Source organism: Homo sapiens, chromosome 19 (genome assembly GCF_000001405.40).
Source record: "Homo sapiens chromosome 19, GRCh38.p14 Primary Assembly".
Lineage (NCBI taxonomy): Eukaryota > Metazoa > Chordata > Mammalia > Primates > Hominidae > Homo > Homo sapiens.
In genome coordinates this window covers 43,935,983-43,963,510 of record NC_000019.10, presented here as the reverse complement: position 1 = coordinate 43,963,510, position 27,528 = coordinate 43,935,983, and the positions used below count along the sequence as shown (strand labels likewise).

The 27,528-nt window shown below is 39.7% G+C and overlaps 1 protein-coding gene across 5 annotated transcripts in view, besides 2 other annotated features; it reads right to left on the bottom strand.

The window, feature by feature from the left end:
- Positions 1–12,283, bottom strand: part of ZNF221 (zinc finger protein 221) — a 30,386-nt gene extending 18,103 nt beyond the window's left edge. For 2 of the 5 annotated variants that reach the window (XR_007066976.1, NM_001297588.2), the window contains exons 1-2: positions 12,111–12,283; positions 704–786 (exon numbers count right to left, since the gene is read on the bottom strand). Coding sequence is in view for 4 of the 5 variants with exons in the window: in NM_001297588.2 (NP_001284517.1) it covers positions 704–784 (81 nt within the window). In the remaining variant the exon portion in view is untranslated. The other 3 variants (NM_013359.3, NM_001297589.2, XM_047439352.1) reach the window with 3 other exon arrangements.
- Positions 12,227–12,346: an enhancer, noted in NCBI's record as "active region_14747". NCBI's record gives its function as "activates an Ori minimal core promoter by ATAC-STARR-seq in GM12878 lymphoblastoid cells {active_cell/tissue: GM12878}" and the evidence as "EXISTENCE:reporter gene assay evidence [ECO:0000049][PMID:35858748]".
- Positions 12,427–12,566: an enhancer, noted in NCBI's record as "active region_14746". NCBI's record gives its function as "activates an Ori minimal core promoter by ATAC-STARR-seq in GM12878 lymphoblastoid cells {active_cell/tissue: GM12878}" and the evidence as "EXISTENCE:reporter gene assay evidence [ECO:0000049][PMID:35858748]".

The window sequence follows — 27,528 nt, the reverse complement described above, 5'->3', positions numbered from 1 at the left end:
GAGTAAGGCATGGCAAACACAGAATCTAGCTCTTCCTGTGTGAAAACTCCAACAACAATATTTGTGGGAAGTAGCAGTCAGAGCCTCATGTGCTGTGCCCTGTTGAAATAATCTACCATCTATAAAACAGCCAATGTAATACATGTCAAAAGTATCCTATCTTGTTTTCAGAATTAATTTTGGGGGGAAGGGGTTATATATAGGAAAGCTGTCACAGCAGTGTTGCTTAAAACAGTAAAATTCCTAAACCACCTAAATGTCTATGAGTGTGAAGTAGTTAAAAATAAGAAGGTACATTAATTCATTGGGACTATGATACCAATATAAAAATGGAACATTATATAATATTATATAAAACGAGCACAATTTAAAATTAGAGGTATGTCATCAATAAAAATACAGTTATGAATGTACATGATGAAGAATACAAGATAAAAACAGCTAATTTGTGAGCAGAGAAGTAGTGAAGTGAAAGAATTATCCATTCCTACTATTTTATCTACTACAGAAAAGAAATTATGTAAGAAAACAAGAACTAAAACCAAACGGAAAGTCAATTCAAAAGCAGCAAAGGAAGCATCTGGCAAACAAAATGCCCTCAAATGCTTGTTGTTCTCCTTGAGTCTTCCCAAGACAGATAAAAATGTGACAATATGAGTAGTAAGATGGAATTTTAACAGCAAGAGAGGCAAGCCCTACTCACTTTGAATGTGGTCATTTTTCCTTCTACTTCAGGGAATTTGCAGAGTCCTGAATGAAGCAGTTCAAGTGAAGGTGAAATCATGCCTGGAAAGTGCCAGGAAAGGCAGAAAAACAGACAGGAAATGGTAACTAGGAATGCCGACCACCAACATAGACAAGTATTTTCAATTAGCACATGAATGTTCATAGCAGCATTACTCATAACCCCAAACTGCAAACAAGCAAAATGCCCTCCTACGGGTAAATGAATAGACAAATCATGGCATATCCATACAACAGAATTTTATTTGGAAATTCAAAGGAGTGAAGAACTGGCTCATGCTACAACATGTATGAACCTTGGAAACATTATGCTAAGTTAAAGAAGCCAGTCTAAAAACCCCATGGATTGTAAAATTCAATTTTATAAAATATCCAGAATAAGCAAATGTATATATAGAGAAAGTAGGTTAGTGGTTGCTCCAGATTTGAGGTGAGAATGAGGTTTAACTGTACATAAGCACAAGGAGTCCAATTGGGGGGCGAAAATGATCTAAACTGAATTATGATGACGGTCACACCACTGTTCAAAGTTCCTGAAGATTATTAAATCGTACGACTGAAATGGGTAAATTCTATGACATGTAAAATACACCTCAATAAAGTTGGAAATAATAACAGTTAATCTACATGTTATTTAACTGGATTGTGGGTCCATATTGATAGAATATTTATAGTTGAAGAAACTGATTAATAAATCAGGGAGAAGTGGAAGCTAATCTTTACAGGATAATGCCCACTAATAATGTATCTCCCGTAAGAAACGTTTTTATTTTCAAAATTTAATTAAAAAGTAACCTTTCAGTGGAAAAATCTGAAAGATATCATCTTGGCCAAGTGAACAAAGTTGAGATCTCCAATGAAGGGAAAAACAGACATCATTTGGCCCCTGTTATGACACTTCAACACTTCTGTGGTATCCACACCAACAATGCATAATCTGAACCTAAACATGAAATACATAAATCCCAAATGACTATCTTTCTATAAAATACTTTGCCTATATACTTCAAGGATGTCAAGAATAAAAAGACAAAGCCTGTTGAATCTTTCTAGATTAAAGAAGACTACAGAAATGTGACACCTAAAAGCAGTACATAAAATTGGACTTTGGACTGGGGGATGGGGGAAAACAGTTACAAGAACTTTAAAAAGCACAACAAATTTAAATATGGGAGTTTGGATAGAAAAGATGATGGTGTCTAGCCATATCTAATAGGTAACAGAATTAACTAATATTAATAGTCTTTTAATTGATATCTAGTATTTAATAGTGATATTACTTAATATTATATCTAATACTACCTAGCATCTTATATGAAACTCTATAGCCAGCCCTTCCTAAATGCCTCTTACCAAGACACTCCATGATCACCTTGCTATGTGGGGTTCCTTGATGCAGAAAGCTACAATAAGTTGTTTCTCATTATAAGTTTGTTCCCAGTGGTATTTGGCTGATGGGTGTTAACAAAGCAAAATACAAAATGTAAATAATTGGAAAATTTGGGTAAAGAGCATATGAAGAGGCAGGTGCTGTGGCTTGAGCCTGTAATCCCAGCTACTTGGGAGGCTGAGGCAGGAGGATAGCTTGAGTCTAGGAGTTAAAGGCTGCAGCAAGTTAGGATTGTGCTACTGTACTCCAGCCAGGGCTCTTAAAGCTCCAACATAATCCTTGACTCCATGTCCCACATCCTGGTATAAGAGATAGACTCCCAAGGCCTTGGGCAGCCAAGTGATATGACTGAGCAGTGGTCTCAGGACCACTTCTCAGAGGGCAGTGGTCCCCTTACCACAGATCCATTAGGTAGTGCCCTAGTGGGGACTCTGTGGGGAGCCCTCACATTTCTCCTTGGCACTGCCCTGGTAGAGGTTCTCTGTTGGGGCTCCCCCACTGTGGCAGGCTTCTGACTGGGATCCCAGGCTTTCTCATACATCCTTTGAAATCTAGGTAGAAGCTGCCAAGCCTCCTTCATGCTTGCATTCTGAGCATCTGCAGCCTTAACACAATGTGGAAACTACCACAACTATCAAGGCTTGAACCCTCTGGAGCTGCAACCCAGCCTGCGCCTGGGGCACTCTAAGCTGAGGCTGGAGCCAGAGTGGCCGGATTCAGGGCACAATGTCTTGAGGCTGCTCAGGGCAGGGGGTCCCTGGGCCTGGCCCTTGGAACCATTCTTTTCTCCTAGGCCCCTAGGCCTGTGATGGGAGGGACTTTCCTGAAGACTTCTGAAATGTCTTCCAGGTCTTTTTCCCATTGTCTCAGATATTACCACTTGGCTTTCTGTTAGTCATGCAAATCTCTTTTGCGAGTGGTTGCTCCACAGCCGACATGTATTCCTCTCCTAAAAATGCTTTTTCTTTCTCTACTAAATGGCCAGGCTGCAAATTTTCCAAACTTTTATACTCTGCTTACCTTTTAAATATAAATTCCAACTTTAAGTCATTTTTTTGCTCCCATATATAATTGTAGGCTGTTTGAAGCAGTGAGGCAGCCAGGCCACTTCTTGAATGCTTTGCTGCTCAGAAATTTCTTTTGCCAGGTACCCTAAGTTATCACTCTTAAGTTCAAGCTTCCAGAAATCCCTAGGGCATGAACACAAAGCAGCAAAGTTCTTTGCTAGGACATAACATGGGTGACCTTTACTCCAGTTCCCAATAACTTCCTCATTTCCATCTGAGATCTCATCAGCCTGGACTTCATTGTCCATATTCCCACCAGCATTTTGGTCACAGCTATTTAATCAGTCTGTAAGAAGTTCCCATGGCTCAGTGAAAAAGTTAAAAAAAAAAAAGTTCCAAGTTTTCCCTCATCTTCTTATCTTCTTCTGAGCCCTCCAAACTTTTTCCAACCTCTGCCCATTAGCCAGTTCCAGAGCCACTTTCACATTTTCAGGCATCTTTATAGCAATGCATTGCACCTCAGTACCAATTTTCTGTATTAGTTCATTTCTGTGTCACTGTAACAAAATACCTGAGGCTGGGTAATTTATAAAGAAAAGAGGTTTCACTGGCTTACATTTATTCAGACTGTAAAGGAAATGTGGTGCTGGCATGTGCTCAGCTTCTGGTGAGGCCTCAGGGAGCTTTCACTCATGGGAGAAGGTGAAGTAGGAGCAGGCATGTCACAAAGTGAGAGCAGGAACAAGAGAGAGAAATTGGAGGACCCAAATTCTTTTAAACAACCAGATCTCACATGAACTAACTGAGCAGGAACTCACTAATCACCAAGGGGATAGCACTAAGCCATTTATGACGGACCCACCCCCAGGATCCAACACCTCCCACTAGGCCCCACCTCCAACACTGGAGATATGGAGGGACCAAACATCCAAACTATATCAAATGTAATTAAAAGGACTGGGTTGGACTCTGATGCTTGACCAAGTTCGAATTTTAGTGAATCTAAGCTTTAGCCACTTGCCTCAAAGCTGTCCCTAAGGGAAAAAATATACCAGGACAACAGTAAGTACCTCTAAGACCTGTGGTTACCAAAAGGCAATCAGTGTATGGGAAGGGTAAAACCAAGAAACTGAAACTACAGTGTACAGTGTGAAGGAATTGTTTATTTTGTAGCTTCTTAAGGAATCTTTACTCAACTGGATTGTGAGAGAAACTAAGTAGCAGCATCTTTGGTTTTAAATGTTGCATTGAAGAGCATATTTGGGTTTATGTAGGACCCACAGTTCACTATGAAACAATTACAGATGGTGATACATGATGCAACAATTACAGACGGTAAACACCTGATGCAGACACACAGGAGATGTGAAAAAAAAAAAACAACCAAAAACCCAATAGTCTTATCTATTTTGGGCTTCTAAAAGTTGTTAGGCCCGAAGGAAACTGAGTCACTGAGCTTGACCTCTTAACTTCCTTCTTTGTTTTCTTGTTCCTGGCTCAGACCAGATAGCATCTAAGATAAAAGATTCTTTGTCTGAGATAAAAGACCCCTTTGACTATTACATCTCTAATGCAGAATGTTAAATACGTTCTTCCCAATAAAAGGAAACACTGCTATCGAATTGCTATAACTATGCATTAATCTTGTATAGAAAATGCTGACATCCTGTTAAGCTTCCTAGACCCTGCCTACATAATGACTCTCAAACCTTTCCACTTCAGAGCACTTATCCAATCTTTTGAAGTCCGTGTCCTCCCAGGTGGACATCTTAAAATTTTGTGTTTGAATAAACTCAATATTTAACCATATTGCCTGAATCTCACTATCAATGTTAACAGATTGTTCCCAAGGGAACAGCCAGCCTGATCAACTGGATAAAAGACATGGTAATGTCTGCTTGCCCTGAAAAAGCGGACTGCTCAACTCACCCTATAAATGCTCGGTGGGATACCCCAGATGATGCAGCTGATATACCGCATGCAAGCCACGTGGGACTGAATTTATGATGACTGGGATATTCATCTGCTGAATATGCTTCTTACCCAGGTCATGGTAAATGCTGTGGCTAAGGGGGCCCCTTTCGCATGGATACCCCACGTGACTTTTGTAAAAAGAAAACTCAAAATGGAGATGGTTATGTCAGAAGTTTCTAAAAAGAGGCATGTGGAGTTGGACCTCAGTTATGTACACATCCAGATGGATTTTAACCTGTTTAACTGGGCCAAATTGTAAAACCAGCTGCATTTGATTGGAATTGTTTATACATGGCCTGATTGCGAAACTCTTGGGGAAACAGCTATGCTGAACTAGATTGATCATCAACCAAAGACATCCTAAGTTGCTAACCAACTGACATCAATCATGGACTGTACTAATACCTTCCAGATATGTAAACTTACAGTAAACATTTATAAGCCCCTGCCCAACCTTGCCTGGATAGAACAGGAAATGATTTAGCTGACTGCTAGATCTGTACTTCTTGATTGCAATTCACAAGACCCCACTTAAAACATCTTTTCTTTTGTTTGTGGCTCAGTATTGATTTTATTTATTAGTTGACATCTTAACTCTTGCAAAACTGAACAACAGTCCTAGAAGCCTTATCAGATTTGCTGTCTCAGCTTCCCTTTAAAGATATTAAAGATGTTAATAAAAACATTAGGTTAATTAGCAAGAGGAAAAAGGCAGAGGGCAGAGTCAAACGACTCATCCCAGAAAGCTAGAAATTTTTTAAAGGTCATTTAAAAAACAATGATAAAGGTGAAACTAAGAAGAAAGAGAGAGAGTCATGGGACTCATTCCAACAGGGTGAAAATCTTTAGATCATTATGTTAAATTAAGTTTAGCCTAAAGCTGCTTTCTTACATACTTTAAGTTAGGTATAAAGGTTTCTCCAGGCGGGTTATGGTGGCTCATGCCTGTAATACCAGCACTTTGAGAGGCCAAGGTGGGTAGATCACCTGAGGTCAGGAGTTCAAGACCAGCCTGGCCAACATGGTAAAACCCCGTCTCTACTAAAAATTAGCCAGGTGTGGTGGTGTGTGCCTGTAATCCCAGCTACTTGGAAGGCTGAGGCAGGAGAATCACTTGAACCCAGGAGGCAGAGGTTGCAGTGAGCCAAGATTGCTCCACTACGCTCCAGCCTGGGCGACAGAGCAGGACTCCATCTCAAAAAAAATAAAAAATAAAAATAAAAATAAGAAAAGGTTTATCCATATATAACGAACTGTAACCTAACTGGAAGTATAAACAGACTGTAACCTACTCTTGTGCCAGTCACTGAGTTTTGACCAATCAAAGGGAGCCAACTGTTCAAACAAGGATCAAATAAGGCAAAAGCTGAGCTGTAACCAAACTGGCTGTTTCTGTTCCTCACTTCCACTTTTTGAATGTCACGTTCCTTTTTCTGTTTACAAATCTTCTTCAACCACATGGTAGCAGTGAAGCTTCTCTGAATCTATTCTAGCTCAGGGGCTGTCTGATTTGCAAATTGTTTTTTGCTCAATTAAATTGTTTGACTTATTTAAGATTTTTTACTTTTAACAGTTTTATTAAGAAATGGAAAAAATAAAATGGAAATTGATGAGGCTAAAACAAAGGTCTGAACACAATAATATTGAAAGTTTGGTGGATCCTCTGCTGATCCCCCAATATTAAAGGGTTTCAAATAAGTTTGTTGTATTTACTCCAGTTTGGAGAAATTTTAAAAGGCCGAAGGTAAAGATTATGATGAGAAACCCCACTTGGAATTGCTTGGGGGCAGTAGTCAAGTAGATTAGTCAAGATAAAGATTGACAAGAGCCAGGGTCCTTTGGCTCAATCCCCTCCTGCTGACTCTCAGTGTTTCGCATAAGAGAGGATAAAATGGCTGGGGGGAGTGTTGGGGTGGGCAAGTGGTGGAAAACTTCCTGGGACTAGAACATAAAAATGTAAGGGTTGATAGGATTATGAAAGTTGGACTATTTAAACAGACTTTATATTAAGAAGTTGTATCTTCTTTACCTAAATGTTTTATGGGAATGGACATTGTATCTGACTAGGGAACGTTTCTCCTGACTAGCATTACAAAACAGAAGGCATATAAATCTACCCTTCAAGCAATATTAGTTGGACATGCTAAATGGGAACCAGTAAGATTGCCTGAGTCCGCACAGTGTAGAATAGAATCTGAAGTGCTGGTATGGACAAATTCTGTTTTGATAGCTCCATGTGGAATGTAGGCTGGGGCTTATGACAGAAGCCTGTGAGTGCCTTCTAGTGACAATTACTGAGACTTTGGACTAGAAAATTTTGACTTGAAGAGTATTTACTACCCCACTATGGGGCATTAACTGAGGCTAGCCCTATGACTGAAAGACATTAAAAATCTTGACACCTGAAATACCTATGCTCTCTTAGGTAATGTTAGGAAAACATTCTAATGGGGATGGCAGTGCCCAGAAGAGTTCCATAATAAAATGGAAATAGTTTATACAGAGTCATGCTACCTGGAGACTGACTCTGGAACTGTGTGAGAAGCTATAAACAACTCTCAACTGACCAGCAAAGAGCTGCTCATTTTGTGAATGGCAGTTCCAAAGTGAATGAACATATGATTTGGAAGGATGCCACCCTGATCAAAGAAGGTAAAAACATATCAGCTCAATGCACTGAATTACACGCTGTTTTCCTAGCAGTGATGAAAAACTGAATGGTGGTAGAAACCCACTTTGGGATCTTTACTGACTCATGGGCAGTGGCAAATGGCCTGGCCATACACTCAGGCAGAAGAGCAGTGGAGATCTGGTCTATTAAAGGGGATGCCCATGTGAGGCATGAACTTACAGAAATTTGAAGTAGGGGGTGTGCATTAAAGTAGGACCTGTTGATGCTCATTGGCAGAGCCCCCTTCAGGTTTTGAATCAACAAGCAGATATCCCCATGTGCTCCCTTGCAGTGGCTGCCTGGGTCCGTGAAATTAGTGGATATGGGAGTAGTGCAGCAGTGCAAAGATGGGCTAAATCGAGACATGTTCTTGCACCCTCTGAGGCACAAAATGCAGATGAAAACTGTTCTGTTTGTCAGCAAAAATGACACAGTGAAGATGGCTGTGAAACAGATTCCCTGGTGGGAAGGACCTGAGTGTAGCTGGCAAGTGATGCTGGTAGCCCTGGGAGGCTACAGATGGGTCTTGACAGCAGTAGACACTGATTCTTGACCGGGTTTTGCTTATATGGTGGAAGATCCAAATGTTCAGAGTGTTTTTAAAAAAAAAGAAGAAAGAAGACCAAGAAACACACTAGATATAGAGCCCACAATGTCCAGCAATGAATAGAGAGCGATCCTCCTCAGAGTAATAGTTTGATAGGGAAGTGGAACAGGCAATTAAAACATTGATTGTCTAAAACAAAGAGATAAAAGCATCAGGGCTGGCTTACACACCTTCGCAAGTGTGTGCTCATACCCAATGTCAGTGGGATAGCAATTTCTCTATTTTTCTGGTTGATCTGGGGAAGACCTGGTGGGAAAGGAGGCTGGGATGACTATGCAATTCTTGCCAAGGGAGGAGAACACCAGTATAATGATTACACTTTTTTTTTTCCTTCTTCCCCATATTACCTCAATTTTTTTCCCCATACCTGATGTAGTGGTCACAGGATCAGGGCTACAACTACAAGTGTTGGAAGCAGGGATGATTCCTAAGCAAGAAACCATAACTAAATTTCTAAAACTTGTGTCAGAATTCCTGAGGGCCCGATGGGGATGGGTTGTGCCTTCACCCCATCTGGCAAAATTGGGCTAACAGTGAATATAACTGTATTTCCTGATGGTAAAAACAGTCCACTATTCTGCACCTAAGTAACCTTACCCTATCTGAATGGAGGTGAACTGAGGGGGAAGCATTTGCTAGACTAGTATTGCTGTCTGCAGTCTAGACCGGCACAGTGGTGATTCTAATGTCCCTTCCAAAGGTGAAAAAGTCTGTGTATTAATGGAAAGAAGGAGAAACGGTAGCTGAGGGTAAAGGAATGAATAAATGAGTTATGAATTGAGAGAACTCCAGTAGTATATTAATACCTTAAGATGACACTGTCTCTTAGCTCAATTACACCAGATGCCTGAAATGGTGAAGCTATATGTTTTGCTAAGACCACTCCTACTTTTAGAACCGTATATCAAATGGAAGCCAGCAAACCTGAGTGGCTTCACCCACTGGACTGGACTTATTAATGTGACTAAATGGGATTCTGATAATGTGGTGGTATCTTTTGAGTTGCATATCCTTTTTTTTTTTTTTTTTTTTTTGAGACGGAGTCTCACTCTGTCTCGCCCAGGCTGGAGTACAGTGGGGCAATCTTTGCTCACTGCAGCCTTTGCCTCCCAGGTTCAGGTGTTTCTCCTGTCTCAGCCTCCCGAGTAGCTGGGACTACAGGCATGTGCCACCATACCTGGCTAATTTTCTATTTTTTGTAGAGATGGGGTTTCCCCATGTTAGCCAGGCTGGTCTCGAACTCCTGACCTCAGGTGATCCACCCACCTCAGCCTCCCAAAAGTGCTGGGATTACAGGTGTGAGCCACCACGCCTGGCTGAGTTGTAAATCCTTTTTATGTAAGAGGATCTGGGTTCAAAGATGGGTATGTACGGTGATAACCTAAATGCATATTTGGTCACTAACATGTCTCCTGGCATACAACTAAAATCCTTAGAATCTCCAAATTGATCTTTTGTATACTCATGAATTGAGTGATGGCTGGCAACCCCTAGGTAGTTTCAGGATGTGGCTGGTCACCTGAAAGACCAATGCATGGTTAGAGAGTAAAGGCATGGGACTTTCAGCCCCACTCCCCAACCTCTGGGAAGGGAGAAGGGCTAAAGGTTAAGCTGATCACCAGTGGCCAATGGTTTAATCAATCGTGTCTATGCAATGAAGTTTCCATAAAAAACCAAGAGGACTGGATTCTGAGAGCTTCTGGATTGCTGAATGCATGGAGGTTCCTGGAGAGTGGCATACCCAGGAAGGTATGGAAGCTCTGCATCCCTTCCCACATGCCTTGCCCTATGCATCTCTTCACCTGTAGCTTTTGTAATATCCTTTGTAATAAGGCAATAAGCATTAAAAAAAAAAAAAAAGCTTAATGACTGGGCACAGTGGCTCACACCTGTAATCCCTGCACTTTGGGAGGCTGAGGTGGGCAGATCACCTAAGGTCAGGAGTTCGAGACTAGCCTGGCCAACACGGTGAAAACTCGTCTTTACTAAAAGATGGGGTGGTGTGTGCCTATAATCCCAGCTACTTGGGAGGCTAAGGGAGGAAAATCGCTTGAACCCGGGAAGTGGAGGTTGCAGTGAGCTGAGGTCATGCCACTGCACTCCATCCTGGGCATGAGAGTGAGACTCTGTCTCAGAAAATTTTAAAATGAATTAAATAAATAAAAATAAGCTTAATGGTTACTATCTTTATATCCTGCATTCAGAGGTAATTAAGCTTTTTTTCTTGTCGTATTTCTGCAATTTCTGAATGCTCCATAATGATATGGTTCTATAAGAATACAAAATATGTGTAATAAGTGAAAAAAAATAGTTGACAAAGTTTTAAAAGAGTCCTAGAGAGGTCCAAGCCCATGAGCCTTGCTCTCAAGGTCCCTCCAATCAAGTCCTAACTTGCTTTCCCCACCTGATTCCAGCTAGTTCCTCTGCCTCAGTGAGAATGTATCCCAGAAATTATCAGCTTGGGCTCTGACCTGGACCGCAAAGGTTCCAACCCCGGCTCCACTTCTTATTACTTGGGCAACTATGGGCAAATAACTCCTGCTCCCTTTGTTTCACTCTCATCTTTAATAGACGAAATGGCAGTACCTCTCCACAGAGCTACCATGTGGTGTACGTGAATTTCTTTGTATAAAGCCCTTAGAATTGAAGATAGCAATTAAGACTTTCTTATCAATGCCCATGCCCGATTACAGCATCCTACAATAGATGTGAACGTTACTGTAAAAGAAAAATGACAAGTCACACTCGCGTGGAGCTTTGTTGTCAGTAGTCAAGGAGTCACTCCGTCTACCTCCAAGCAATCCTTTTAGAGAAGTCAGGATGCGGAAACAATGCTACAAAATACCATGGTTGTGTCACCACTCTTGACAAAACGGTCAAGACCCTCCCCTCCTTCTGTGGAAATTGGAGATACCCCTCCTTTTCCTAAATAAGAGGTCAAAGACGGCCGGGCGCGGTGGCTCACGCCTGTAATCCCAGCACTTTGGGAGGCCGAGGCGGGCGGATCACGAGGTCAGGAGATCGAGACCATCCTGGCTAACACGGTGAAACCCCGTCTCTACTAAAAATACAAAAAATTAGCCGGGCGTGGTAGCGGGCGCCTGTAGTCCCAGCTACTCGGGAGGCTGAGGCAGGAGAATGGCGTGAACCCGGGAGGCGGAGCCTGCAGTGAGCCGAGATCGCGCCACTGCACTCCAGCCTGGGCGACAGAGCGAGACTCCGTCTCAAAAAAAAAAAAAAAAAAAAAAAAAAAAAAAAAAAAAAAAAAGAGGTCAAAGACTGTCCAGAATTTTCCAGCGTTCTGCAGGGATCAGAGAGAAGAGCCAGCTGGAGCTCTGACACCAGCCCAGGGACCTGACCATTTCTCAGGAAATTAACAAGAGATCGCCATTCACTATAACAAAAACTGTTTTAAGACTCTTTTATATTACCTCTTTCAATTCCCAAGACAATTCTATTAGGAAGGTCTTAATATCCCCCATTTAAAGAAAAGCAAAAAGAGTCCCAGGGAGATTAAGTAACACCCCAACGTTGTACCGGGGGAATCGGCCCCGCGCCAGTAGTGGAGGGATGCGGATTGGGCGAGCTGAGAGCCCCAGAAACCCCCAAATAGGGCGAAACGTGACAGGACCGAGTCCCTCGGGATGCTAGGACAGCCCTAAACGCAAGAAGGCTCTGCCGCGGGGATCGCAAACCGCCGCCCTCACCCTTCCAAACCTTTGCTTTCCGACGGTGCTTCCTTTCCTCTAAATCTATCGCTAGCTCGTTGAGGGTTCCGAGAGTAGGTCCAGGAAATTCAGAAGGGCCTGCGAGACGCAGAACAGCTCAAAATATCACAGAATAAAGGGTAACTCCCGCAGCCGTAGCTCCCGCGACTCCACAGAGCGTCTGGACTACATTTCCCAGAATTCCCCGGATCCGCCTGCCTGACCGGAAGTGCCCGCAACCCCACCGACCGTTGGGACACTTCCCAGAATGCCCAAGGAGTAAACGTTCACAGTTTTACCCTCCAGGGGGAAGTGTTGCAACTACACATAGCTTCTTGACCACACTTCTTCCAAGTCCCCGGAGAAGGGAATCCCCCATCCGAAACGCCTATGTGGTAATATGGACTCCTGCACTGAGTGTCGTCCTTACCTTTCTCTTGAGTCTTCAAGCAAAAATATTACATAAACAATGATTTCCTGATTGAAATATCCCCAATTATTACAGAAGTATTACTGGAGAGTGAACAAAGGTGGAGATAAAATCTTCAAGGAACTGACAAGAAATTACTGCTTGAGGATCAGTAGAGAACTGAAAAGAGGAAAATGTTTAGTATAACCTGATGATGTGAGGCTAAAACTGATAGTATGCCGATGTAATTTTAATTTACATTTCCTGTATTGTAAATGAAATAGAACATCTTTTCATATTTTCAAAGGCCATGATTATTATTATTATTATTATTATTGGTAAATTGTTCAAACCTTTTGCCTACTGTACTAATGGCTTTTTGGCCTTTTCCCTCATTTTTCAAATATTGTTTATACATTTGTAAAATAATTCTTTTTTCTTGAAAATTTCTTTTTTTTTTTTTTTTTGAGGTGGAGTCTCGCTCTTTCACCCAGGCTGGAGTGCAGTGGCATGATCTCGGCTCACTGCAAACTCTGCCTCCTGGGTTCATACCATTCTCCTGCCTCAGCCTTCCAAGTAGCTGGGACTACAGGCACCTGCCACCACGCCAGGCTAATTTTTTGTATTTTTAGTAGAGACAGGTTTTCACCGTGTTAGCTAGGATGGTCTTGATCTCCTGACCCCGTGATCCACCCACTTCAGCCTCCCAAAGTGCTAGGATTACAGGTGTGAGCCACCGCGCCTGGCCCAAAGTTTTCTTTTATTAGTTTTATAGATTGAGGTCTTAGATTTAAGTTTTTAATCCATTCTGATTTGCTTTTTTATGTGGTAAGAAATAGAGGTCTAGTTTCATTCTTCTGCATATGGATATCCAGTTTTCCCAGCATCATTTATTGAAGAGACTGTCTTTTCCTCATGTGTTCTCAGCACATTTGTCAAAAATTAGTTATCCGTAGGTGTGTGGATTTGTTTCTGTTCTCTGTTCTGTTCCATTGGTCTCTGTGTCTGTTTTTATGCCAGTACTATGCTGTTTTGGTTATTATAGCTCTGTAGTATAATTTGAAGTCGGTTTTGTTCTTTTTGGTCAGGATAGCCTCAATTATTCTGGGTTTTTTTGTGGTTCCATATAAATTTGAGGCTTTTTAATTTCTCTGAAGAATGTCATTGGTATTTTTAACAGAGATTGCACTGAATCTGTAGATTGCTTGGGTAGTATGGATATTTTAACGTTACTGATTCTTCCAATCCATAAACATGGAACATTTTTCCATTTTTTGGTGTCCTCTTCAATTTTTTTGTCAGTGTTTTATAGTTTTTATTATAGACAACTTTAACTTTTTTGGTTAATTCCTAGGTATTTGACTTTATGTGTGGCTATTAAAAATGGCATTACTTTTGATTACTATTGATATAGAAAATGCAGTATATCCATACATTAAAATAGTATCAAAAACACCATGAGCAAAAAGAGAAAGCTGAAGAATCATGCCAGATTAATGGAGACAGGAGAAACGTGACAGTTAAAAACAATTCATAAAAGTGGGCTAAACTGGAGGCAAATCAATTACAAGGAATTTAAATTAAAAACAGAATAAATTTAAATATGGAGTGTAGGTTAAATAACATATGAACATGCACAGGGGACACACACAGACCTGCAGAAGCCAGTGCCTCATCCCCATGCTAACACCACCACCAGCACTACTACACATACAGTCACCAGTGGGGGGCCCCCCTGCCCCCTTGAGCCATGCTGCCTCCACCACTGCTGTAAGTGCTCACACAGAAGCAGGCATCCCGGTACCCACTAGCAAGCTGCCACAGCTGATGAGCATGCACCCCACCATGTTGCCACTGCCACTGCAGCTGGCATGTGAGAATGATGACAAATCCTGCTGCCACTGCACTAAAAAATGCTTTGGCACCATCCATTGTAGTGCAGTGACCAGCAGCCTGGGAACACCTTGGCCACCCCAGTGTAGTTCGTTCCCAACCTCGAGAATCCAGAGAACAAAGTCAGGGCCCGATATAAGCCCACCAGAGTTACAACATGCAGTCCAGGAGTTGAGAGCTGAGCATTGGCCCCCTAAAATCTTCCTTAAATGAAGCCAGTCAGCTGAACTCACCTTATACCACATCAAACCCTCAAGGATATCAAATAGAATAAAAGGAAAAAAATAATCCAAAGGAAAGCAAGTTCAAAGATTGAAGAACATCATCCCATGAAGATGAGAAATAACCAGCTCAAGAACTCTTGTCAATTCAAAAAGCCAGAGTAACTTCTTTCTTCCAAATAACCATGCTAGCTCTTCAGGAAGGGTCTGAACAGAGCTGAGATGGCTGAAATGATGGAAATAGAATTTGGGATATGGATAGGAATGAAGATCATTGAGATGCAGGAGTACATTGAAACCCAATCCAAAGAAGCTAAGAATCACAATAAAATGATACAGGAGCTGACAGACAAAATAGCCACTACAGAAAAGAATGTGGCCAACCTGATAGAGCTGAAAAATATACTACAAGAATTTCATAGTGCAATCTCAAGTATTAATAGCAGAATAGACCAAGCTGAAGAAAAAAATCTTGGAGCTTGAAGACTGGCTTTCTGAAGTAAAACAGTCAGACAAAAATAGAGAAAAATTAATGAAAAGGAATGAACAAAACCTCCAAGAAATATGGGGTTATGTAAAGAGACCAAATCTACAACCCATTGGTGTTCCTGAAAGAGATGTGGAGAATCTTAGACCACATACTTCATGATATCACCCACGACAAATTCTCCACCTAGCTAGAGAGGTCAACATTTAAATTCAGGGAATGCAGAGAACCACTGGAAGATACTTCCACAAGAAGATCACCCACAAGACACATAACCAAAAGATTCTCCACGGTCGAAATGAAAGAAAAAAAATGTTAAAGGCAGCTAGAGAAAAAGGACAGGTTACCTACAAAGGGAAGCCCATCAAACTAACAGTGAACCTCAGCAGAAAGCTTACAAGCCAAAAGAGATGGGGAGTCAATATTCAGCATTCTTAAAGAAAAGAAATTCCAAGCCAGGATTTCAAATCTGGCCAAACTAAGCTTCATAAGTGAAGGAGAAATAAGATCCTTTTCAGAAAAGCAAATGCTGAGGGAATTTGCTACCACCAGATCTGCCTTACAAGAGTTCCTGAAGGAAGCACAAAATATGGAAAGGAAATAATATTACCAGCCACTGCAAAAACACACAGAAGTACACAGACCAGTGACACTATAAAGCAACCACACAAACAAGTCTGCATAATAACCAGCTAACATCATGATGACAGGATCAAATCCAAACATATCAATACTAACCTTGAATGTAATGGGCTAAATTCTCCAATTAAAAGGCACAGAGTGGCAATCTGGATAAAGAACCAAGACCCATTGGTATGCTGTCCTCAAGAGACCCATCTAACATGCAGTGACACCCACGGATCAAAATAAAAGGATGAAGAGAAATCTACCAAGCAAATGGAAAACAGGAAAAAGTAGAGGTTGCAATCCTAATTTCAGACAAAACAGACTTTAAACCAAAAAAAAAATCAAAAATGACAAAGAAATGCATTACATAATGGTAAAGAGTTCAATTCAACAAGAAGACCTAACTATGCTAAACATATATGCACCCAACACAGGAGTACCCAGATTCATAAAGCAAGTTCTTAGAGACCTTCAAAGAGACTTAGGCTCCCACACAATAATAGTGGGAGACTACAACACCCTACTGACAGTATTACAAACTTTATTGAGGTAGAAAATTAACAGATATGTTCAGGACCTAAACTCAAAATTGGACCAAATGGATATAATAGACCTGTACAGAACTCTCCACCCCAAAACAAGAGAATATACATTCTTCTCATAGCCACGTGGCACATACTCTAAAATTAACCACACAATCAGACATACGACAATCCTTAGCAAATGCAAATTAATGGAACTCATACCAAACACACTCTTGGACCATCACACAGTAAAAATAGACATCAAGACTTTAAAAAATTGCTGAAAACCATGCAATTACATGAAAATTAACCTGCTCCTGAATGACTTTTGGGTAAATAATAAAGTTAAAGCAAAAATAAAGAAGTTCTTTGAAACTAATGAGAACAAACACACAACATACCAGAATCCCTGGGACACAGCTAAGGCAGTGTTAAGAGGGAAATTTATAGCACTAAACACCCACATCAAGAAGTTACAAAGATCTCAATTTGACAGCCTAAGGTCACAACTAAAAGAACTAAAGAACCAAACACAAACCAAACCCAAAGCTAGCAGAAGACAAAAATAACCAGAATCAGAGATGACTGAAGGAGACTGAGACATAAGAAATCATTCAAAATATCAACGAATCCAGGAGGTGGTTTTTTAAAAAAAAAAAAAAAAAAAAAAAAAAAAAAGATTGTTAGCTGGGCTCATAAAGAAGAAAAGGGAGAAGATTCAAATAAACAGAATCAGAAATGACAAGGAGAATATTACCACTGACCTCACAGAAATACAAATAATCATCAGAGAATATTATGAATATTCTATGCATATAAAATAGAAAATCTAGAAGAAATGCATAAATTCCTGGACATATACATCCTCCCAAGACCGAACCAGGAAAAAACTGAATCCCTGAACAGACCAATAACAAGCTTCAAAATTGAATCAGTAATAAATAGCCTACCAAAATAAAAGCCCTGGACCAACAGATTCATAGCCAAAGATTCTACCAGATGCACAAAGAAGAGCTGGTAGCATTCCTACTGAAACTATTTCAAGAAACAGGAGGAGGGACTCTTCCCTAACTCATTCTATAAGACCAGCATCCTCCTGATACCACAACCTAGTAGAGACACAACAAAAAAGGAAAACTTCAGGCCAATACCCTTGATGACTATCAATGCAAAAATCCTCAACAAAATACTGGCAAACCAAATCTAGCAGCACATCAAAAAGCTTATCCATCAGAATCAAGCAGGATTTATTCCTGGGATGGAAGTTTGGTTCAACATACGCAAATCAATAAATGTGATTCATTAACATAACAGAACTAAAGACAAAAACCACAAAATTATCTCAATAGATGCAGAAAAGGCTTTTAATAAAATAACACTGCTTCAAGTTAAAAACTGTCAAACTAGCTATTGAAGAAACAAAATAATAAGAGCCACCTATGACAAACCCACAGCCAACATCATACCAAATGGGCAAATCCAGGAAGCATTCCTCTTGAAACAATTCTAAAAGAAACTCATCTTTCTGGCCAGAAAACTAGAAAGAGGGCCTCTGTGAGTCAGAATGTACGGGGGAAACTCCCTTTCATCTCTTTTTTTTTTCCTGGCCCTTCCCAATGCCAGCACTGATGGTGGAACTGCACTAATATTAGTGCATATGGGCATGTAAAATCCTGAGTGAAAATGTATGTGTCTACATAGAGAAACTGAAAAAAAAGAGGTTTCTGTTGTTCAAAATGTGGGGAGGGATAGTTATCATATACTTCTCTTTTCTCTCACCAGAGTAAGCCAAGGGTGACAGGGTGGGAGGCTAAAACTCTGAGAGAATCTCATCTTTTGGGTCAAAGGATCTTGGGAAGAAAGCCCTTAGAATCCAGAGAGTGTGAGAGAAGATTCAGAAGACAGAGCTGGAGAAGGGGATACCTCAGTTTTGTGGATGAACTGACACAATTTAAAGGCTCATCACTAAGCTGCACATTCAAATAACACACCCAAAGGAACATAGAAAATACATTGAGAACTGAACTATGTTATAAACCATTGCTCAGAAATCAGCTAATCCCTGAGTGGCGCACTGAGTGGCATACCCAAATAGCACAGCAAAGTTTTTAGAACTAACACATAGAGAATATGAGACAAAACTTATGATATGAAATTAAGTACAGGAGCAGTGGCTCACGCCTGTAATCCCAGCACTTTGGGTGACTGACGTGGGCAGATCACTTTGAGATCAGGATTTTGAGACCAGCCTGGCCAACATGGTGAAACCCCATCTCTACTAAAAATACAAAAATTAGCCAGGTGTGGTGGCATGTGCCTGTGATCCCACCTATTTGAGAGGCTGAGGCAGAAGAATTGCTTGAACCCAGGAGGCAGAGGCTGCAGTGAGCTGAGATCACGCCACTACACTCCAGCCTGGGTGACAAAGCAAGGCTCCATCTGAAAAAAAAAAAAAAAAAAAAAAAAAAAAAAAAGGAAATTAACCTGGTTGGCTGCCTGCTAAAACAAACAAAAAAAAAACCCTCAATGTTCTCTATAGATTTTAATAGGACCAGAATCTGGTAACATATTGAAAATGCTCAGGATACAATCCAAAATTACTTGACATGTAAAAAGAAAAACAGGTATATCTGACCAACTTCAAGAAAAAAGCCATTCAAGAGATTCCAACCCCTGAATGTTCTAGATTTTTGCATTATCAGAGACTTTTAAAAGTTATTGTAATCATTCTCCATGAGGTATAGGTAAGCATTTGAAATAAATGGAAATATAAAAGTTGTCAGAAAACTAGAAACTATAAAAGCAAGCAAATGGAAATTTCAGAACTTCAAAATACAATAACTGAAATTTAAAATCAGTCAGTAGCAGAATGGAGATGACAAAGGCAACTCATTGAGCTTAAAAACTGAACAGTATAAAATATCGAATCTGGAGGAGAAAAAGCAAAAATAGAAAAACTGAATTGAGCCCTAAGGACATTTGGGACAACATTAAAAGATCTAACATTCCCATGATTGGAATTCCAGAAGAGGAGGAGAAAGGTATTGAAATAGGAAACTTTTCAAATAAATTATAGTCGAATACTTCACCAATTTAATAAAAGAAATACATCTGCAGATTGAAAAAAAACTCAGCAAAACCTAAATATGTTAAAAATGAAGAAAACCATACCCCAGCACATCATAATGAAACTATTAAAATATCAAAGATAAAGAAAAAAATGTTTGAAAGCGTTTAAAGAAAAATTATACATTGCAAATAGGGCAACAACATTTCAAATGAATGCAAATTTCTTATCAGAAACCCTGGATGTCAGAAGACAGTAAAACAGCATTTTAATGTGCTGAAAGTAAAGAATTGTCAATCCAGACACTATATTCAAGGAAAATATCCTCCAGAAATGGAAATAAAATAAGGACCTTCTCAGACAAAAGAAAACTAAGAGAATTCATCACTAGCAGATATACTTTAAAAGAAATGCTGAAGAGAAATAATATCAGAGGAAAGTTTCAGGAATGAAGGCAGAGAAACAGAACTAGTAAACTTGGTACACATAATACAATATTTCCCCCCCTTTTAAATTCTTTAAAATATATATGATGGTTGAATATAAAAATTTAAAGTATTGGTGGGATTTTTCAGAGCATGTAGATATAATACACACACTATAGCACAAAGAGGGGAGGATAAACAGATCTCAATAGTTGTAAGTTTTCCTTGTTTTATGTGAAGCCATAAACTATTGGCTCAAAATAGTCCACAATATGTTAGGTATGTATACATGGGTTTCTAAAGCAACACTAAATCAAACAAAACAAAAGATAAAACCAAAGTCATGTAGTTTAAAAATAACATGTACAGCCTGGGCAACAGAGTGAGACTCTTGTCTCAAAAAAAAAAAAAAAGCAAATAAAAATAGAGCATTAAAAAAATTCAAATAATCCAAAAGAAGAAAGAAAGGAGGTAACATAGGAACAAAAAGAGACAAACACAAAAATAATAAATTGGTAGGTATAAATCAAACCATATAAATAATTACATTAAATGTGAAGTGTCTAACTACATAAAGACAATGTTTGTCACATTATTTATTTTAAAAACGTGACCCGATCAGGCATGGTGGCTCACACCTGTAATCCCAGCACTTTGGGAGGCCGAGGCGGGCGGATCACGAGGCCTGGAGATCGAGACCATCCTGGCTAACGCGGTGAAACCCCGTCTCTACTAAAAATACAAAAAATTAGCCCGGCGTGGTGGCGGGCGCCTGTAGTCCCAGCTACTCGGGAGACTGAGGCAGGAGAATGGCATGAACCCGGGAGGCGGAGCTTGCAGTGAGCCGAGATTGCGCCATTGCACTCCAGCCTGGGCGACAGAGCCAGACTCCGTCTCAAAAACAAATAAACAAACAAACAACAACAACGAAAAAAAGTGACCCAACTATAAGCTATATATAAGAAACTCACTTTAAATATAATTATATAGAGAGACTGAAAATGGAGTGATGAAAAATATGTGCCATGAAAGCACTAATCAAAAGATTGCTGATACAACAAGTGTTGGCACAGATGTGGAGAAATTGGAAACTTTGTGCATTTCTGGTGGAAATGTAAAATGGTGTTGTCACTGTGGAAAGCCATATAGTAGTTCCTCAAAAAAAAAAAACATAAAATTACCATTTGATATAACAGTTCCACTTCTGGGTGTATACACAGAATGATTGAAAGCAGACACTTGAACAGATATTTGTATAGCAATGTTCATAGCAGCATTATTCACAATATCTAGAAGGTGGCAACAACTCAAATGTTTGTGGATAAATGAATAAACAAAATGTAGTATATACATACAACAGAATATTATTCAGCCTTAAGGAATTAAATTCTGACACGTGATAACATGAATGAAGCTTAAAGACATTATGTTAAGTGAAAGAAGTCAGACATAAAAGGACAAATATTGTATGATTTCACTTATGCGAGGTACTTAGCATAGTCAAATACACAGAAACAGAAGGTAGAACAGCAATTACTCGGGGCTAGGGAGAGAGAGGATGTGAAGTTATTGTTTAATGGGTACGGAGCTTCAGTATGTGATGAAGAAAAAGTTGGAGATGGACAGTAGTGATAGTTGCACAACATTGTGAACATACTTAGCACTACTGTACTGTTCACTTAAACAGTTAAAACAGTAAATTTTATGCTATGCATATTTTACCACAATAAAAAGAAAAACTGTATGGCTGATGTGGTTACATTATTATCAGACAATTTAGACTTTAGGTCAATGAAAACTTCCAGGGATAAAGTGAAACATTACACAATTATAGAGGATCCATTCACTAACAAGACCTAACAATCCTAATTGTGTATGCACCTAAAAACAGAGCTCCAAGATACATAAAGCAAAAACTGATCAAACCTAAAAAACAAAATAGATAAATACACAATCAGAAATGAAAAATAAAAACCATTATTTATAATATTAGTAACATTGAAAATATGAAATATTTCTACATAATTTTTATAGCTATTCTGCCCTCAAGGAGATGGGATATAATTCCCTATTTCCTCCATGTGGGCTACTCATAGTGACTTCCTTCCAAAGAGTACAATATGAGAAAAGGGGAAAAAGGGTGAGGAAACCTAACAAACACTACCTCAGCTACGTGATCAAGGTCAACGTCAAGAGTGATAGGTTATATTGATCATGTACCCTTGAATGACATGATAAAAATGGCACTTTACTTCCCCAAAATCCATAACCTTAATTTGATTATGAGGAAAAAATCCATTTGAGGGATATTCTACAGGACACCCGACCAGCACTCCTCAAAACTGTCAAGGTCATCAAAAACAAGGAAAGTCTGAGAAACGATCACAACCAAGAGGAGCCTAGGGAGACATGATAAACTAAATATAACATGACATTCTGGATGGCATACTGGCACATAAGAAGGACATTAGTTTAAAACTAAATAAATCTCAACAAACCGTGGACTTTAGTTAATAATAATGTATCAATATTGGTTCATTAATTCTAGCAAATGTAACATACTAACGTAAGAAGTTAATAACGGGAAATTGGGTATAGGATATATGGGAACTTCCTCTACTACCTGCTCAATTTTTCTGTAAATCTAAAGCTTTTAAGTATGAGGTTTATTTTAAAAACGACTATTTAAAGGTAAATCTGATCAAAGACATTCATGACATCTACATTGAAAGCTATAAAATATTGCCAAGAGAAATTAAAAGAGGCCTAAATGAATGGAGCAATATAGTATGACTAGGGATTGGAAGATACGATATTGTTAAGTCATCAATTCTTACCAAATTGATCTATAAATTGAATGCAGTCCCGATTAAAATTTCAGCAGGCTGGCCAGGTGTGGTGCCTCATGCCTGTAATCCCAGCACTATAGGAGTTCAAGAAGTATGGATCACTGGAGGCCAGGAGTTCAAGACTAGCCTGGCCAACATGGCAAAACCCCATCTCTACAAAAATTAGCCGGGTGTGCTGGTGCACACCTGTAGCCCCAGCTACTTGGGAGACTGAGGCAGAGAATCGCTTGAATTCAGGAGGTGGGGGTTACAGTGAGCTGAGATCATGCCACTGCACTCCAGCCTGGGTGACAGAGTGAGACTCTGTCTCAGGAAAAAAAAAATCACATGCTTATTTGAGGAAATTGACAAGCTGATTGTTAAATTCATATGAAAATCCAAAGCATCTAGAATAGCCAAAATAACCTTGAAAAAAAAAAGTTGGAGAATGGATGTTGCCTGGCTTCTAGACTTTTTATAAAGCTGCAGCAATCAAAACAGCATAATATTGGCATCAAATTAGACATATAAATCAAAAGAACACTATAGGGAGTCCAGAAGTCAGAAATAAACCCACACACATATATGGTCAAATGATTTTGTACCAAAGGTCTCAAGTAATTTAAAGAAGGGAAGAGTCTTTTTAAAAAATAAATTGGAAAAAAAATGAATTGGAAACACCTATACAAATAGTAATTACTTGGATGACAGGCCTAAATATAAAAGCTAAAGCTTATAAAACTTCTAGAAGAAAACATAGGAGAAAAATCTTATCTTTGGAGTCAACAAAGATTTATTAGATATAATTTTTTTAAACTAACTATAAAAAAATTGATAAATTGGACTTCATAAAAATAAAAACCTGCTCTTCAAAAGATTTTGTTAGAGATAAAAATACATGCCCAGAGTGGAGGAAACTATTCTCACTACACATATCTGACAAAAGGTTTTTTATCCAAAATATAAAAGAACTCTTAATTCATGAATAATAAGACAACTAACGCAGTTAAAAAAATGGGCTCAAGATTTAAGCAGACACTTAACAAAATACATAAATGGCCAAAAAGCACATGAAAATGTGATGAATATTTGGTCACCTGTAAAATGCAAACAAAAACCACCGTAAGCACTACACACCCACAGAATGACTTAAAAAGTCTGACAACACCAAGTGTTGGTGAAGATTGGAGATGCTGGAATCTTCATACATTTTGATGGAAATATAAAAATTACAACGCTTTTGGAAAACAATTTGACAATTTCTGATAAAGTTAAGCCTATAAAAAAATTACAGAGTGGCACAAGGGAAGTTTTGAGTGTGATGGATATGTCCATTACCTTGATTGTGGCATGGTTTCTTAAGTGTGTACATATGTTAAGTCTCATCAAATTATATACTTTATGGGCAGTGTACTGCACATCATTTATGCTTTCATGATGCTATAAAATATAATGTAAGCCAGCACTTTCACTATTAGGAATCTAAACTACAGAAGTAAAAACATATGTTTACACAAATCGTTGTTGTGAAATGTCCACATCAGCTTTGCTCATAGTAGCAAAAAATTGAAAGCATTCCAAATGTTTATCAAGAAATAAATGGATTAATAAGTTGTGATATATCCGTATCATTGAAGAGTACTCAACAGTAAGAACAAATAGTACAACCCGAATGAATTTTAAAAACATGCTGTGTCGGCTGGGTGCAGTGGCTCATGCCTGTAATCCCAGCACTTTGGGAGGCTGAGGCAGGCAGATCACGAGGTCAGGAGACTGAGACCATCCTACCTAACACGGTGAAACCCCGTCGCTATTAAAAATACAAAAAATTAGCCGGACGTGGTAGTGGGCGCCTGTAGTCCCAGCTACTCAGGCAGCTGAGGCAGGAGAATTGCGTGAACCCGGGAGGCGGAGCTTGCAGTGAGCCGAGATGGCGCCACTGCACTCCAGCCTGGGTGACAGAGCGAGACTCCAACTAAAAAAAAAAAAATGCTGTGTCAAAAAAGCTTCACACATCAGAGTACATGTTATATGATTTCATTTGTATGAGATTCTTCGGCAGGAAAACAACTAATTTTTCATAACAGAAAGCAGATTAGTGCTTGGGGCTGGGGACATGATAGAACAATCATAGCAGGGCTAACGAGAGCTTTTTGGGGTGTGAGGTAAATATATGCATCTTGAGTGTGGTGGCTTTACACAAGTGTACACGTTCATCGAATGTACTGAACTTTATACTTTAAAAGGGGTATGTTTTAATAGAAATTATACTTAATAAAGTTGATTTTAAAACATTAGCAGTACCACTACCTCTAGTAGTAATAATGTTAAAAGAAATTGAGTTTGTAAAATGTCCAATGACATCCAAGGATTAAGTAAGGCTATTTTCTCAAATCTGAATTTGAGTAACATATTTAAATCTCATATAGACACACTTATAGGAGAAACATGTTCAGGGTAGTCGTCTTTAGATTTGCATTGTTTGGGAAAGGAGCAGCCTTTGCTCACAAGAGCACTAATAAAAGGCCACAAGTTTAGGATTATGAGAGAGACCCGAATTCTGCTAAGATGTAGGGATAAATAATTACCAATCATTATTCTGGAGGTCACAAATTTGCAACTTCCCCAATTATCCCTATAAATAACATCGCTATTGCAGAACCTAAGATTGGCCTTTTGCTATGTCTTTTCAGGCTTTTGCATTTTTGATGACCAGACGACCCCACCCAGACCCACAACTCTTGACTCTACCAGTCATGTGACATCCACCCAGAAGAGGTCCACACCCCATGATTGCATCCCCAACCAATTGCATCCCCAACCAATAAACACACCCATTCCCTAGCCCCCTGCCCACCAAACTTATCTTTTAAAAACCCCAGCCTCCAAATTTTCAGGGAGGCTGATTTCAGTAACAGTAAAACTTCTGTCAATGAAAAGACTCAAACTCTGTAAAATATTTGAAGAGATTATTCTGAGCCAAATGCAAGCGTCCATGGCCCAGGACACAGCCCTCAGAAGACCCTGAGAACATATGCCCAAGGTGGTCAGGCCACAGCTAGGCTTTAGACATTTCAGTGGGACATAAGACATCAAGCAATATATGCAAGACATACGTTGGTTTAGTCCAGAAAGGTGTGACAACTGGAAGCAGAGGGGGTTGGGAGTGGAGGGCAGGGTGGGGGGTAGGGGTATGTGAAGTGTGTGGGGCTTCCAGGTTATAGGCAGATTCAAAGATTTTCTGATTGGCAATTGGTTGAAAGAGTTTATCTAAAGTCCTGGAATCAATAGAAAGGAAATGTCTGGGTTAGGATAAGAGATTGTGGAGACCAAGGTTCTTATTACGCAGATGAAGCTTCCAGGTATCAGTCTTCAGAAATAAGAGATCGTAGATTTTTCTCATCAGACTTAAAAAGGTAGCCCAGGCACGGTGGCTCACGGCTGTAATCCCAGTATTTTGGGAGGCCGAGGCAGGCAGGTCACCTGAGGTTGGGAGTTCGAGACCAGCCTGACCAACATGGAGAAACCCTGGCTCTGTTAAAAATACAAAATTAGCCGGGCATTGTGGTGCATGCCTGTAATCCCAGCTACTTGGGAGGCTGAAGCAGGAGAATCGCTTGAACCCAGGACGCGGGGGTTGTGGTGAGCTAAGATTGCACAATTGCACTCCAGCCTGGATGACAAGAGCAAAACTCTTAAAAAAAAAAAAAAGTGTCAGACTCTTAGTTGATTCTCTCCTGGATCAGAAAAAATGGCCTGGAAAAAGGAAAGGAGATTCTCTACAGAATGTAGATTTTTCTCCACAAAGGACAACTTTGCAGGGCTATTTCATGATAGGGCAATGAAACATATTTGGGGTTGAAGTATTTTGATTTCCTTTCTTATCCGTCATGAGGTGTTATGACAGGTTGGAAAGTAAGTCACATTATATAGGGTTAAATTAAAACCCCTCTCATGAGACTTTATGGTTTGGAGGGCTTGACTCCCCAGACCCTTAGATAGGAATTTGAGTAAGAAAAGAAAAAACGGCAGAGTTCAGTCTTCACCCTGGTCTCCCATTTAGCCAGCTCTACGTGTATTAAACTCTTTCTCTATTGCAATTCCTGTCTTGATAAATTGGCTCTCTCTGGGCAGTGGGCAAGATGAGTCCATTGGGTGATTACATTTCTCTCTTCCTCTTACTAAAGTAGAGAGAGTACTTATCCAGATTTTGAAATGGCATTGATGCAGGGCAGTTTCTTGGCTTTGCTCAGGAAAGAATTCAACAGCAAGCCAGCAGCGGAAGAAAGCAGGTTTATCGAATCAACAGTGTTAAAAGCTCAGTGACTGTTCCTTGCAGACCAAGACTAGCCCACAGGCAGTGTGCCCAGAGTAGCAGCATATGGGCTGTTGGCTGGGTATATTTATACCAACTTTTCATTACATGCAAATTAAGGGGTGAGTTACTCGGAAATCTCTAGAAAAGGGGTTGGTAACTTCCAGGTGTTGCCATGGCATTTATAAACCGTCACGGCGCTGGTGGGAGTGTCTTATACTGATAGGTAGCAAAGGGAACTTACAGGTTGCTTTCCATCACTTGCTGGTTTCAGCAGGTTTCTTATCTGATCTTGGAATCACGCCCTGCTGGTCTCCTGCCTCAGCCTAAATTGAACATTGTTCAGATGTTTACAGCTACTCCTATGTAGTCAACTTCCATTTTTTCTTCTTTACCCTTTCATAATAAACTTGGAAAAATATTTAGTTTCTACCTAGGAGAAAAGTGAATAGTATAGCTTTCTGTATTTTTTGCACTTCATGTCTTAATCCCTCACTTCACCTCCCTCTCCTTACTGAATATTCATAGACACTTTGGCAAATCATAAGACACCTTTACAGATTCCTGATTCTGAGAGCAAGAAGTGATGTGATTCCTTAATCTGAACTGAATGTTTTCAAGATTTTATATAG